The sequence below is a fragment of the Homo sapiens genome, chromosome 7, assembly GCF_000001405.40.
Source record: "Homo sapiens chromosome 7, GRCh38.p14 Primary Assembly".
NCBI classification, from domain to species: Eukaryota; Metazoa; Chordata; class Mammalia; order Primates; family Hominidae; genus Homo; species Homo sapiens.
In genome coordinates, this window is record NC_000007.14 from 75,335,343 (window position 1) to 75,349,806 (window position 14,464).

General features: G+C 48.7%; 1 protein-coding gene and 1 pseudogene across 3 annotated transcripts in view; one reads left to right on the forward strand and one right to left on the reverse strand.

Annotated features, from left to right (window-relative positions):
* On the forward strand, positions 1–12,359 carry SPDYE15 (speedy/RINGO cell cycle regulator family member E15). 2 transcript variants are annotated; one of them, NM_001382547.2, is made up of 8 exons: positions 1–122; positions 1,343–1,925; positions 2,921–3,139; positions 4,172–4,230; positions 5,458–5,543; positions 7,249–7,492; positions 7,615–7,719; positions 8,573–10,054. In NM_001382547.2, the coding sequence occupies exons 2-7, from the start codon at positions 1,796–1,798 to the stop codon at positions 7,672–7,674; spliced, it is 798 nt and encodes a 265-aa protein (NP_001369476.1). In that variant the 5' UTR covers positions 1–122; positions 1,343–1,795; the 3' UTR covers positions 7,675–7,719; positions 8,573–10,054. The 2 variants fall into 2 exon arrangements, with proteins under 2 accessions (NP_001369476.1, XP_047275734.1); XM_047419778.1 differs by lacking the exon at positions 1–122 and having other exon boundaries at positions 7,615–12,359.
* Positions 8,595–14,464, reverse strand: part of PMS2P2 (PMS1 homolog 2, mismatch repair system component pseudogene 2) — a 15,061-nt pseudogene continuing 9,191 nt past the window's right edge. Inside the window, exon 5 of the transcript NR_003614.3 lies at positions 8,595–8,766. The product of NR_003614.3 is annotated as a PMS1 homolog 2, mismatch repair system component pseudogene 2 (transcript). The remainder of the gene's footprint in view (positions 8,767–14,464) is intronic.

Below are 14,464 nucleotides of genomic sequence, written 5' to 3' on the forward strand. Positions count from 1 at the left end.
AACAATGGGACTTCCACAGCAATGGGATTTCCTTCCGCATTCAGTTTGTGCCTTTCCCATGAGCGAGAGACTCCTAGGAGAGCCGCAGCCCGTTAGGAAGCCATGTGGGAACTCATCCACAGGTTCTTTTTGTTTGTTTGTTTGTTTTTTTTGAGATGTAGTTTTGCTCTTGTTGCCCAGGCTGGAGTGCAATGGTGTGACCTTGGCTCACTGCAACCTCCGCCTCCCAAGTTTAAGCCATTCTGCTGTCCCCGCCTCCTGAGTGGCTGGGATTACAGGCACCCACCACCATGCCTGACTAATTTTTTGTATTTTTAGAAGAGATGGGGTTTCACCATGTTGGCCAGGCTGCTCTTAAACTCCTGACCTCAAGCGATCCACCTGCTATGGCCTCCCAAAGCGCTGGGATTACAGGCGTGAGCCACTGTGCCTGGCCGGAACCCACAGGTTCTTTGGATGGTCTCTGAATGTCATGAAACTCTTTTATATTTAATTAAAAAATTTTTTTTGACACAAGGTCTTGCTGTGTTGCCCAGACTGGAGTGCGGTGTCACGATCACAGCTCACTGCAGCCCCTAACTCCTAGGCTCAAGCAATCCTCCTGCCACCTCAGTCTCTCAAGTTGTTGGAACACAGGTGCCAGCCACGACACCTGGCTAATTTTGTTTTGTTTTGTTTTGTTTTGTTTTAGAGATGGGCTCTTGCTATGTTGCCTATACTGGTCTTGAACTGCTGGCCTCAGGCAGTCTTCCTCCCTTGGCCACCCAAAGAGATGGGATTACAAGCATGAGCCACTGTGCACAGCTGAGATTTTTCGACTTAGTCTTTTTGTACACCCAGTATCTTATAGAATATCCGTAATATAGATTCATAAATAAACCATTTCCTTCAATGGTATAAATAAATAAACCACTGCTATAAATGGTGGAATTTTCTGAGTTAAGAGCAATACATATGATACAAAACTTGATATATAGAGTTTCTTAGCCAAACTGGAGGGGCTGGCTTTAGGTGATCCGTGGACTCCCTGAAATTGGGGACACCATTGGAAATATGTGTGAACTCATGGGCAGTTTCCTATGATTTCCAGTCCTCAAAGTATCTCTTGGACTCAAAGATGCCTTAGGGCAGAGGACGCGTGTACCCCCAGTACAGAATCTCGGACAGTGAATGTCAGTAGACATTCGGCAGAAAACCTCTGCCAAATTGAGTGCTCTGATGTGACTTTTTCATCAAGTCAATGTTCCTGGGATCTCTTGTACATGATAATCTCACTCTTGTAAGGTTTCATCGTTTCTGCTTACCCTACTTTTCTTTCCCATCCTGATCCCTCTCCCACCAGACTGGACTCTGAAACGGGCATGTACAGAGAAGAGGAGACCCCAACACGCTTCAAGCTTTGAGTGGAGAGGACACAGCCTCTGCTGGGACAGGGAACAGAGGGATGCGGAGACCCTGAAGATGCTTTTGGACAGTGGTCTGAGGTTGGGACAGTGGCAGGAGATACCATTCACCCAGGATCTCCAGGACAAGAGATCAGCCTGGCAGTTACATGTGTTTTTTTTCAAACTGGTTGCCAGGTTGGCATGAGCGATGACATCAGAGATTCCGACCTTCCTGATTGGAGGGACCGGACTCTGTCGGCACCTGGGAGTTCAGTTGGACAACAGTAACTTCTCAGAGCTGTTCTCCACTCCTGACTTCTCCCAGCCTCGAGAATTGATAACACACTCTTCTGGATCCCAGCAGTGTCCAGAAGAAGACCAAGGACAGAACAGAGACTAGGTTTGGTGAGATGGGACAGATTTTGGGAAAGATCATGATGAGCCATCAACCGCAGCCCCAGGAAGAGCGGAGCCCCCAGCGGAGCACCTCAGGGTACCCCCTCCAGGAGGTGGTGGATGATGAAGTGTTGGGACCATCAGGTGAGGGGACTGGAGAAAGAAGAGGTGGCATAGGATTGACTAAGATGAAGGAAGGGGGCCAGGCGTGGTGGCTCACCCCTGTAACCCCAACACTTTGGGAGGCTGAGGCGGGCAGATCACCTGAGGTCAGGAGTTCAAGACCAGCCTGGCCAACATGGTGAAACCCCATCTCTACTAAAAGTACAAAAATTAGCCAGGCGGTAGTGGTGTGTGCCTATAATCCCAGCTACTTGGGAGGCTAAGACAGGAGAATCACTTGAGCCTGGGAGGAAGAGGTTGCAGTGAGCCGAGATCGTGCTACTGCACTCCAGTCTGGGTGACAGAGTGAGATGCTATCTCAAAAAAAAAAAAGAAGAAAAAAAAAAAAAGAAGAAAAAAAAGAAGGGTCAGAGGTCAGGAAGGAGAACCTGGGGAGGGTGTGTGGGAAGAATGGAGAAATTCAGGCTGGGTGCAGTGGCTCACACTTGTAATCCCAGCACTTTGGGAAGCCAAGGCAGGCGGATCACTTGAGGCCAGGAGTTTGAGACCAGCCTGGCCAACATGGTGAAACCCTGTCTCTATTAAAAGTACAAAATGGAGCTGGGCATTATGGCAGGCACCTGTAATCCCAGCTACCTGAGAGGCTGAGGCAGGAGAATAACTGGAATCCGGGAGATGCATGTTGCAGTGAGCTGAGATTGCACCACTACACTCCAGCCTGGGTGACAAAGCAAGATTCTGTCTCGAAACAAAAAAAAAAAAAAAAAAAGAGGGACTCAGAGAGCCAGGGACCAGGGAAGGATATGAGGCAGTGTTCTGAGGACAGAGAGAGGGAAGAATGGGGAGGGGAAGGAGTGGCACATGGGGTTGAGCAGAGGAGAAAGTCAGAAAGGTGGCTTGGAGAAGCCAGCAGTCTGCGAGGCTGGGGAGGATGGAGAGTGGTTTGGGGTTTGGGGTCGGGGTCTAACGTGATCAGTTGCAGAAGCATTACACGGTGGCCTGGTTTCTTTACTCAGCCCCTGGGGTAGATCCCAGCCCCCCACGTAGGTCCCTTGGCTGGAAAAGGAAGAGGGAATGTTTGGATGAATCTGATGATGAGCCAGAGAAGGAGCTCGCCCCTGAGCCTGAGGAGACCTGGGTGGCGGAGACGCTGTGTGGCCTCAAGATGAAGGCGAAGCGACGGCGAGTGTCGCTCGTGCTCCCTGAGTACTACGAGGCCTTCAACAGGCTGCTTGGTAGGAGGACACCCCAGAGAGCACCTCCAATCCTGTTCTTTCTAAAGAGGAAACTTCCAATAACCACACTTTTCCAATGGGAAAAATATGCCCCAGTGGGTGAGCTCTCCATGCGGGAGGACTCTGAAGTGATCACTCATGAGGGACACTTAGGAGACAACAGAGGATTAGGTAGACTTGATAAAGGTCGGTGCTTGGGATAAGAAAGCTTGGTTTTGGGCCAGGCGCTGTGGCTCCCGCCTGAGATCCCAGCACGTTGGGAGGCTGAGGCAAGAGGATTGCTTGAACTCAGGACTTTGAGGCTGCAGTGAGCTATGACTGCACCACTGCACTCCAGCCTGGGTGACAGAGCAAAACTCTGCGTCAAAAGAAAAACCAAGGCTGGGCACAGTAGCTCATCCCTGTAGTTCCAGCTACTCGGGAGGCTGAGACAGGAGAACTGCTTAAACCCAGGAGGCAGAGGTTGCAGTGAGCCAAGATCAGGCCAATGCATTCCAGCCTGGCCCACAGAGCAAGACTCTGTCTCAAAATAAATTAATAAATAAATAAAAATAAAAATCAAATAAAGAAAAACAAAATCAAAAATCAAAAAAGTGGTTTCAGCTGTGCCCTCTGAAACTTAATGTTTCTTACTGACTTTTCTAAACCTAAGTGTTTCCATCCATAGTGAGGGATACCAAGGCCATGGTCACACCCTGATGTGTGACTGTCTCATGAGGAAATGATGGGAATTCCTTTATGACTCTGCAGTGGTCCCTCCGTGTCTGCTGGAGGGGGTCCTGGCTGATTCCCAGCTCTACATCCTGTAGATTCTCACACCCAGGGCCTCCTTCGGCCTCTTCTCAGGGGAGTCTCAGAGCAGGAGCCTCTCTCCCTTGCCCAGTGAAAGTCATTCTCCCCTCTCTCATCCACCTCACCCGCGGCCACAATCCTGAGACTTTCCCCCGGGAGGCACACTTCTCCTCGCTGCCCTGCTGCTCTCACGGAAACCCTGTCCTGCTTCTCACACTGACATCTGCTCTCTAATCACAGAGGATCCTGTCATTAAAAGACTCCTGGCCTGGGACAAAGATCTGAGGGTGTCGGACAAGGTAAGGTTGTTCTCTATGTAACTGTGTTCCTGTTCTAACGCACGGCCAGGGGGAGGGCGCAGCTTCCAAACCCACAGTTCTCCGTCCACCACCTCCCACCAGATGCTCCTACAGTTTTTTTTTGTTTTTGTTTTTGTTTTTTTTTGTGAGACACAGTCTTGCTCTGCTGCCCAGGCTGGAGGGCAGTGTCTCGATCTTGACTCACTGCAGCTGATGCCTCCTGGGTTCAAGCGATTCTCCCACCTCAGCCTCCAAGCAGCTGGGATTACAAACATGAACCACCACGCCTGGCTAATTTTTGTGTTTTTAGTAGAGACGGGGTTTTGCCATGTTGGCCAGATTGGTCCCGAACACCTGACCTCAGGTGATCCACCCGCCTTGGCCTCCCAAAGTGCTGAGATTACAGACGTCAGCACTGTGTCTGACCAGCTCCCATGGTCTTGAGTCTTGGCACCCACACATTTTTTTTTCTGAGACAGAATCCAGCTCTGCTCCCCAGGATGGAGTACAGTGGCATGATCATAGCTCACTCTAATTCCTGGGCTCAAGCAATCCTCTTTCCTTAGCCTCCTGAGGAGCTGGGACTAGGCACATGCTACCATGCTCAACTAATTTTTGAAATCTTCTTAGAAACAGGGTCTCGCTGTGTTGCCCAGGTTGTTCTCCAACTGTTGGGCTCACATGATCCTCCTGTCTCCACCTCTCAAAAAGTACTGGGATCACAGGCTTGAGCTGCCACTCCCGGCTATTCTTTGTCTTTTTATGATTTGTCAGCATCTCCGTCAGGATTCTGCTGGTCTCTTGCAGAGTGAATGAGTGGCCCCTGCCTCTCCTATGGGTCCTTTGGGATCTGAGCCCTGGGCCACAGTCTGGCTGCAGCCCTGAAGCTCCTGGGCCCTCTACTCTCAGCTCCTTGGGACAGTTCTCTGCCTGGCACACAAAAGACCCTCCTGACACCAGCCGACCTAGACACACCCCCTCCAAAGATCCCATCGGAGCCCACCATCCTGGGAGCATCACCAAAAACCCTTCCTCCGGCTTCTCGGATTTGCATCCGACCTTCGAATACCCCTCCACCCCGCAATTTCCACATGAGCACAGTCACCCCAACACTGAGGTCCCTTCTCTGATGGGCAACCCCTCCCCAGACCCCCATTCCACTATATCCACAATCTTCCTCTCCCAAGATGTGACCTCTCCCTCTCTGTGTTCCTTTCTCTCCATCAGTATCTCCTGGCTATGGTCATAGCGTATTTCAGCCGGGCCGGCCTCCCCTCCTGGCAATACCAACGCATTCATTTCTTCCTGGCTCTGTGAGTGGTTTGCTGCCTCCTATCCGTCAATATCCAATGCCCTGGGACAGCGGGGGAAGTGGGATTCCAGCCTTTCATTTATTCTTTCACCTATTTGTCCTCTTTACTCTGTGTACAAAAAAGACAGGATTATAGTCTCAAAAAAAAAAAAAAAAAAAGAACAAAAAACAAAAGGAACCATGAACCGCTCCTAAGGGGAGAAGAAAAGGAGCGGAGGAGCGGACATGACACTTCCCCCAGCAAGCAGACGTTTCCGGTTGTTCTCTCTCCTTCCCACATCAACCGCAAAAGCCATCAGCCTCCTCCGGGTTCCCGTGACAGAGGTCACAGTCCAGGTCCCCCTTGCATCACTCGAATCCACTGTCAAATGCTCCCTGCTGGGGTTTCCTGGAGTCTCTCCCCAAGCCAGGGGGCTTCCTAGTGCAGCCTGAACATCTTTCCAAAGCACGACAACCTCACTGCCCACCTGAACAACTTCCTTAGCTGATGTCTTTCTCTATCGAGGCCAGGGTCCACAGTGCCAATTCCACCCTCTCTACAATCTCTACAACCACACTGGCTCGCCATCTTGGTGTTTCCTGGCTTGGCTTCACTGCTCCTTCCAAATGCCCTCCACTTGACTTTGCATTTGTGTTTTCTGTCTGGGTGTCCCGCACACATGTGGTTCTGAAGGGAAGGACCCATTCCTTGAAGTCGGTTCACCCCACAGCCTCTGTGATGCCTTCCCTCGTCTTCCAACTTCTGCATGCCCGTAGCTCTCCAGTTACATCCTATTATAATGTGACATTGGGATTAGGTCATCTCCCCTGATTACTCCCAGTCCCATTAGACTAGATGCCTGTAGAAGGCAGGGTCCTGGCAAAATATCAGTGTATTCAATTGCTTTTTTTTTTTTTTGAGACAGACTTGCCCTGTCCCCTAAGCTGGAGTGCAGTGGTGAGATCATAGCTCACCGCAGCCTCCATATCCTGGGCTCAAGCGATCCTCCCACCTCAGCCTCTTGATTAGCTCCGACTACAGGGCTGTACCACCACACCTGGACAGTTATTTATTTATTTATTTATTTATCAAGACAAGAGTGTTGCTGTGTCTCTCAGGCTGGAATGGAGGGGCCCAATCTTGGCTCACTGCAACCTCCGCCTCCTGGGTTCACACAATTCTTATGCTTCAGCCTCCTGAGTAGCTAGGACTAATGGGTGTGCCACCGCACCAGGCTGATTTTTGTATTTTTAGTATAGATGGGGTTTCTCTGTGTTGACCAGGCTGGTCTCAAACTCCTGGTCTCAAGCAATCCACCTGCTTCAGCCTTCCAAAGCGCTGGGATTACAGGCATGAGCCACCACGTCTGGCGTATTTTTTATATTTTTAATAGAGACGAGGGTCTTGCTATGTTGCCCAGGCCTGTCTCAAACTCCTGGCCTCAAGTGATCCTCCTGCTTCGGCCTCCCAGTGTGCTGGGATTCCAGGCATAAGCCACCACTCTTGGTCACCAGTTGGGTTTTTGTCTCCATCCTGAAGGAGTGGGAGACGCCCTTGATCAGGTCTCTGTCCAGCAGAGCCCTCCTGAGGAAGGCGTGGCTCTCTGCAGGGTGGGTGCCAGTCCTGAGCTAGGGACGGTCCCTTACCTTCCTCTCTGAGAAGCTGACCTCAGCCGGAGGTCTCTCCTGGTGGTGCCCCTGAGCAGCAACCTGATTTCTGTCCTCAGCTATCTGGCCAATGACATGGAGGAGGACGACGAGGCCCCCAAACAAAACATCTTCTACTTCCTGTACGAGGAGACCCGCTCTCATATACCCTTGCTCAGTGAGCTTTGGTTCCAGTTATGCCGTTACATGAACCCGAGGGCCAGGAAGAACTGCTCTCAGATAGCCTTGTTCCGGAAGTATCGGTTCCACTTCTTTTGTTCCATGCGCTGCAGGGCTTGGGTTTCCCTGGAGGAGTTGGAAGAGGTGGGTGGGGCCTGGGGACGTGGAGGATGTGGGGAGGAATCGGGTGGGCTGGAGGCTGGACGAGGGGAGAGAGGGGTATCCTGGGGAGTCCCCGTCTTCTCAAAGCGCGTTTGTTTTTCCAGATCCAGGCTTATGACCCAGAGCACTGGGTGTGGGCGCGAGATCGCGCCCACCTTTCCTAGAGCTCCAGGGACCGTGGAGGCCTGAGGTCATCGGCCTGAGAGAAGGTACATCTGCATCCTCCGGGGTAAAGGCAGAATATTGGGGTCTATTTCGGAAATCCAAGGAACCCAATTGCTTGATCTGGCTTCAAGCCTGGGCAACGTGGCGAGATCCCCTCTCCACAAAAATACAAAAATTAGCCAGGCGATGTGGGAGGCATCTCTACTCCCAACTACTCAGGAGGCTGAGGCGGGAGGATCGCTGGAGCCTGGGAGGTCGGGGCTGCAGGGAGCCCTGATCCTGCCACTGCACTCCAGCCCGGGCGACAGAGTGAGACCCTGCCTCAAAAATAATCATAAATACTGAGTTCGGGGAGGTTCATTATGATTGATGCACTTGAGTTACCGATTTGGGTCGAGGGTTCAGTGAAGCTTTGGTTTACATCTTGTGCAGCTAACCATGTTGAGCACAGAGCATGAGACTTCGTCATGAGGAGGGAGGATTATGGATTAGGCTTCTGGACTCGTGGTTCGTGATGTTGTCACGTTAGAAACAGATCTAGCACGGTTACAAGTTTAGATCTGAAGTGACACAAAAGGCCCCAGCTGTGATGAAGTCCAAAGCCACATTCTCTGAGGGTGCCCTACTCCCTGGGAAGACCCACCCAAAGTCCTGGCTATGAAGCAGATCACTGGGGCTGACCTTGGGTGTATTAAGTTTTGGAGTCAGGGTCACCAAAGTGTGAGTTTCACAGTTGAACACGATGGTTCAGAAGCAGGGTATAGAATGAAAGGCAGGAGATAAAATTGCACTTCTCAATTGCTCTGAACTCTAGCTAGACTTGACATGGGACGTGAATAACCTTCCTGTCTAGAGAGCTGCCTCCTTCAAGTGTGACATTGTCTCTCTCACTTCCAGAACACCGGACCCAGGGGAGATGTGGATTTTCAGCAGGAACTTTATTCCAATGCTAATGGCAGACATCAGGAAGGAGGAGAGGAACCATTTGTGCAGATCATCTAGAAGAACCTGGACCATTCTTGACAGAGCTGAATACAGTGATCACGTTGTCCTCCAAGGAGCAGGGGTGGGGTGGGGTACTTCTAGGAGTCCTTGGAGAAAAGTAAGAAACCAGGAGTGTTTCCAGTTCCACCCTTTCCTGCGGCACCACCTCCCTTTTTATATTGCTGAATGCCAACCTCCCTGGGGCGGAACCTGGAGGTCCTGTTTCTTATGGACTTGGTTGCCACAGTCCAGGAGCATTTGAAGGCACAGTGCAGGGGCTCAGATTGGCACAGAATTCTTTGTGAAATATGAGTGCCACAGACTGTAACAGATAGCTTCATGCACACTATGCATTTTATTGGTTTGTTTGGAAAATGTTGGCCATTGAATTATTAATAGGTTTATTTCAAATAGTTTGGAAATTGTTGTACTTTTGAAAACATGCTGTTCCTGTAGAGTTTTTTGATGAGAGTTATAGTTGTTATATATACCTAAAGATAATTTTCTTTTCATTTTTAAGTGAGAATTCTTTTTATCCTAAATCTTTTATTATCTTTAATTTTTTTTCTGTATTATTATATGTGCTCCTGAAGCGAGCACTCTTTTTATCTATGATACTTCCATAATAATCTCTTCTATTTATAGCTATTGGTAGTTCCCCACCAGAAAAAAACATAATTCTGGTGATAGAAATTTTTATTTGCTGTTTAGGTTTGTGACTGACTTGTGAGAATTCAGTTGTGATTTTTAACATGTCTCAGATATATATACTAACACGTCTAATATATACTATCTATTTTATTGGTTTATTTTGAAAAACATGGGTATAGAATTATTTAAATATTATTTTATTTACTGAAATATTTATTAAATATATTTATTTATTTAAATATTATTATTACTTTAAATATTATTTTAAATATTTTGGAAATACTGGTATTTTTGAATAGATGCTGTTTCTATAAAGCTGTGTGATGGGTATTATAACTGTTGTATACACATACATATAATTTTGTTTTCCTTTTTAAGAGAGGATTCTTTTCATCCTAAATCTTTTACCTTTCAATCTTTGTATCTATTATTACACGTGCTGCTGAAGGGAGCATGGTTTTTATCTATGATACTTAGTTAACATATATATTACATTTATAGCTATGTGGTAGTTCCCCTAAATTCTTGTAAAAATAAATTTTTATTTGATATTTAGTGTATGTTTGAAATGTGAGAATTCAGATGGAATTTTTTATCTTGTTTTGGCATGTTTGTATGTTACTTTAAAGAGGATGTGTGTTCTAAAGGAGGACATGAGCTGTGTGTTTTCAAGAGAACAGTGCAGTGCATCTCTTGGGGAAACATAATAAAGATGAACTTTTCTCACCTTCACAGTGAGTGTGATCATATTGTGGTCTGGATTGATTATTTGCTGTCAAGTGACATTTTTCCTTAATGGGGTTGTGGTTATTTGAACATATTTATTAGCTTTGGAAGATAATCCTGTGCTGTTTTTTATGTAGAAAAAAACATACGGCTGGGTGCAGTGCTCACACCTACAATCCCAGCAGTTTTGGAGGTCATGGCGGGAGGATCACTTGAAGCCTATTTTTAATTTTTATTTTTTAAAGAAAAACAACAGAAGAGAAGGCTGATCCCAAGCTACAGGGTTTTTTTGTTTGTTTGTTTGTTTGTTTGTTTTGGAGACAGTCTCGCTCTGTCTCCCAGGCTGGAGTGCAGTGGCACAACCTCGGCTCCCTGCAACTTTCACCTCCGCGTTCAAGCAAATTCTCCTGCCTCAGCCTCCCAAGTAGCTGGGACTACAGGCATCCGCCTGTACGTCTGACTAACTTTTGTAAAAATAGTAGAGACAAGGTTTCACCATGTTGGCCAGGCTGGTCTCAAACTCCTGACCTCAAGTGATCCACCCGCCTCAGTCTCCCAAAGTGCTGGGATTATAGGCATGAGCTACTGTGCCCAGACCCCAAGCTAGAGTTTTAAAGCAGGAAATGAGAGAAAGATATTGAGAGAGGAAAACCAGGTGGTAAGAAAACTCTAAAGGTGGCTGGGCGTGGTGGCTCACGCCTGTGATCCCAGCAGGAGTTCGAGACCAGGCAGGAGAATCACTAGCAGAGAATATGTCTCCCCAACCCCTCTCAAAAAAAAAAAAAAAGTCCAGGCGCGGTGGCTCAGGACTGTAATCCCAGCACTTTGGGAGGCTGAGGTGGGTGGATCATGAGGTCAGGAGATCAAGACCATCCTGGCTAATACGGTGAAACCCCATCTCTGCTAAAAATACAAAAAATTAGCTGGGCGCGGTGGCAGGCGCCTGTAGTCCCAGCTACTCCGGAGGCTGAGGCAGGAGAATGGTGTGAACCCAGGAGGCGGAGCCTGCAGTGAGCAGAGATCGCGCCACTGCACTCCAGCCTGGGTGAAAGCGCGAGACTCCATCACAAAAGAAAAAAAAAAAAAGAAAGTTCCTGCAACAGTTCAAGCTGTGAAAGACAGGCACTCTGCCATGCAATTCTTTGTGATTTTTCTTTTTTATTTTTGGAGTCGGGGTCTTGTGCTGTCACCCAGACTGGGGTGCAGTGGTGCGGTCATAGCTCACTGTGGGCTCAGACTCAAGCTCAAGCAATCTTCTTATCTTGCCTTTCTAATTGCTGGGATTATAAGCATGAGCCACTGCACCTGGCCTGTGTGACGTAATTCTGATGTCAACTCCCTGATGTTACATCAAATGCCACAGGTTAAGGCCACCAGCCCCCGCTAGGCTGCCCTCGCTTCAGATGCAGCTGCAAGCTTGGGTGTCCACAGACCGCATGTACTTCTCACCAACTGGCTGCAAATTTGGAGGTTCCCACCACGTCCTCAGGTTTGATAATTCACCATAACAACCCACAGAACTCTGAAAAGCATGATACTTTCTCTTTCTTTATTTGAGACAGAGTCTTGCTCTGTCACCCAGGCTGGAGTGCAGTGGCCACCATGCTTGGCTAATTTTAGTATTTGTATTAGAGACAGGGTTTCGCCATGTGGGCCAGGCTGGTCTTGAACTCCTGACCTCAGGTGATCCACCCACCTTGGCCTCCCAAAGTGCTGGGATTACAGGCATAGCCACTGTGCCTGGCTGACTTCTAGAGTTTCAATAACAGAGATGTGGTTCAAGAAGAAAAGGGAGACATGTTTTGTAGACAGCAGGAGCTTCATGAAAAGAAGCCAATGAAGGGCAGGATGTGTAGCTGTCTACCTACAGGAAACCAGCCAGGAGCCTCCCCACAGGGACTTCAGCACAGATGGCCGGGAAAATCTGCATTCACCTGAGCTCTGGACCTAAGAGAGGACAAGGCCTTGACTGTTTCTACAGACTCACAAGATGCAATCTCTGCGGTCCATGCCCGTGGTGTGATCTGGGAAACAGGGGGCCTTCTAAATGCCAACAACAAGGAAATCAAATGTGCAACAGACAGAAATATCGGCATTGACACGGGCCATGGAGAGGCCTAAACAGATGACTGCAGTCCACTGCCAAGGTCATCAAAGGGGTGACTCTGAAATAAGAAATTTCAGACGCCACGGCCCAAATAGCTGCACGAGGTGGGGAAGTCCTCCACATGCCTCTGCTTCCTTCAGTACCTCTTCATGAAATAAGCCGAGGTACTTCCCTGGGGAATTTCCTTTCTCTTTCTTTCTTTCGAGACGGAGTCTTGCTCTGTCGCCCAGGCTAGAGTGCAGTGGCGCGATCTCGGCTCACTGCAACCTCTCCCTCCCGGGTTTTGGCAATTCTTCTGTCTCAGACTTCTGAGTAGCTGAGATTACAGGTGTGTGCCACCATGCCCAGCTAATATTTGTATTTTTACTCGAGACAGGGTTTCACCATCTAGGCCAGGCTGGTCTTGAACTCCTGACCTCATGATCCACCCATCTTGGCCTCCCAAAGTCCTGGGATTACAGGCACGAGCCACCACACCCAGACTTCTTTTTTTATTTTTTGAGATGAAGTTTCGCTCTTGTTGCCCAGGCTGGAGTGCAATGGCGAGATCTCAGCTCACTGCCACCTCCTCCTCCTCCCAGGTTCAAGTGATTATCCTGCCTCAGCCTCCCGAGTAGCTGGGATTACAGGCACCCAACACCAAACCCCGCTGACTTTTTGTATTTTTAGTAGAGATGGAATGTCACCATGTTGGCCAGGATGGTCTTGAACCCCTGACCTCTAATGATCTACCCGAATTGGTCTCCCAAAATGCTGGGATTACAGGCGTGAGCCACTGTGCCCAGCCCCTCCCATACCTCTTTTGGCCAAGGCAGTACAATTCAGAGAATCTTGCCAGGGAAGACTGGTAAATGGACATCAACATGATGCCTATGGCTCCTGGTGGATTTAGATACCTCCTGGTGCTTACTGATACCTTTACCAGTTACATGGGGGCTTTTCCATGCCAGACTGAAAATGCTGGAGATCACTGATCAACCTTCAACTATTTACTAGCAGAACACTGAGGGGACTCTGCAGTCACCAATATCTCCTATTGCACTTGGATAAACACCTCCCGGGAAATAGAGATGAATAGAAAGGAAATACTTAAACAAGCAGAATGGCTACATTCCTTCAACCAGAAGGGTCCATTAGTCTGTTTTCACACTGCTATAAAGAACTACTGGAAACTGGGGAATTTATGAAGAAAAGAGGTTTAATTGACTCACAGTTTTGCAGGCTGTACAGGAAGCATGGCTGGGGAGCCCTCAAGAAACTGACAATCACGGCAGAAGGCGAAGGGGAAGCAGGCACGTTTCTGGCCATGGTGGAGCAGGAGAGACAGAGAGAGTGAAGCAGGAGGTGCTGCATGCTTCTAAACAACCAGATCCCATGAGCGCTCACTCACTATCACGAGACCAGCAAGGGGGACGTCAGCCGCCATGAGCCAATCATCTCCCACCAGGTCCCTCCCTCAACACTGGGAATTGCAATTGGACATGAGATTTGGTTGGGGATACAGAGCTGAACCATATCAAGGGTAGTTCAACCACTGAGATTGATTGATTGACTGAGATGGGGTCCTGCTCTGTTACCTAGGCTGGAGTGCAGTGGCACAATCTCGGCTCACTGCAACCTCCGCCTCCCAGGTTCAAGCAATTCTCCTGCCTCAGCCTCCCTAGTAGCTGGGACTACAGCACACGCCACCACACCTGGCTAATTTTTGTATTTTCAGTAGAGACGGGGTTTCACCATGTTTGCCCGGCTGGTCTTGAACTCCTGACCTCGTGATCACCCTGCCTCGGCTCTTCTTTTGCTGGAATTACAGGCGTGAGCCACCGCACCCGGACAACCACTGAGATTTAGAAGGCAGTCGAGTCCACTATACCACACCTCACCTGGTTTCTTCCTCTGTTGGGGCCCCTCGTGGCCACTGTTCTGTTACTTTTTGGTCCTATTTATTTAAATGGATGGTGAGCTGTTTGTCCTCCAGGATCCAACACTTCCACCTTCAGCTTGTATTACAACAATACCAGCCTTTCAAGCTACTCCGGGTGACCCCAGAACTCATCTGAACTCAGAAGCCCAAGAGTTTCATTCCTCTCACTTTAGGGGACTAAGTGCCCCTGGTCAGCATGAAGTCGATACAGAAGCATGACCTCCATCCCTAATCCCTCAAGAATGAGGAGTGGAAGGTGTTGGCAGGAGGGTGGGACGCGGTTTGTAAATCTGTAACTGCATCAGACCAAATCTAGTTCAACTTTTTTTTTTTTTGATGGAGTTTCACTCTTGTCACCCAGGCTGGAGTGCAATGGCACGATCTCAGCTCACTGCAACCT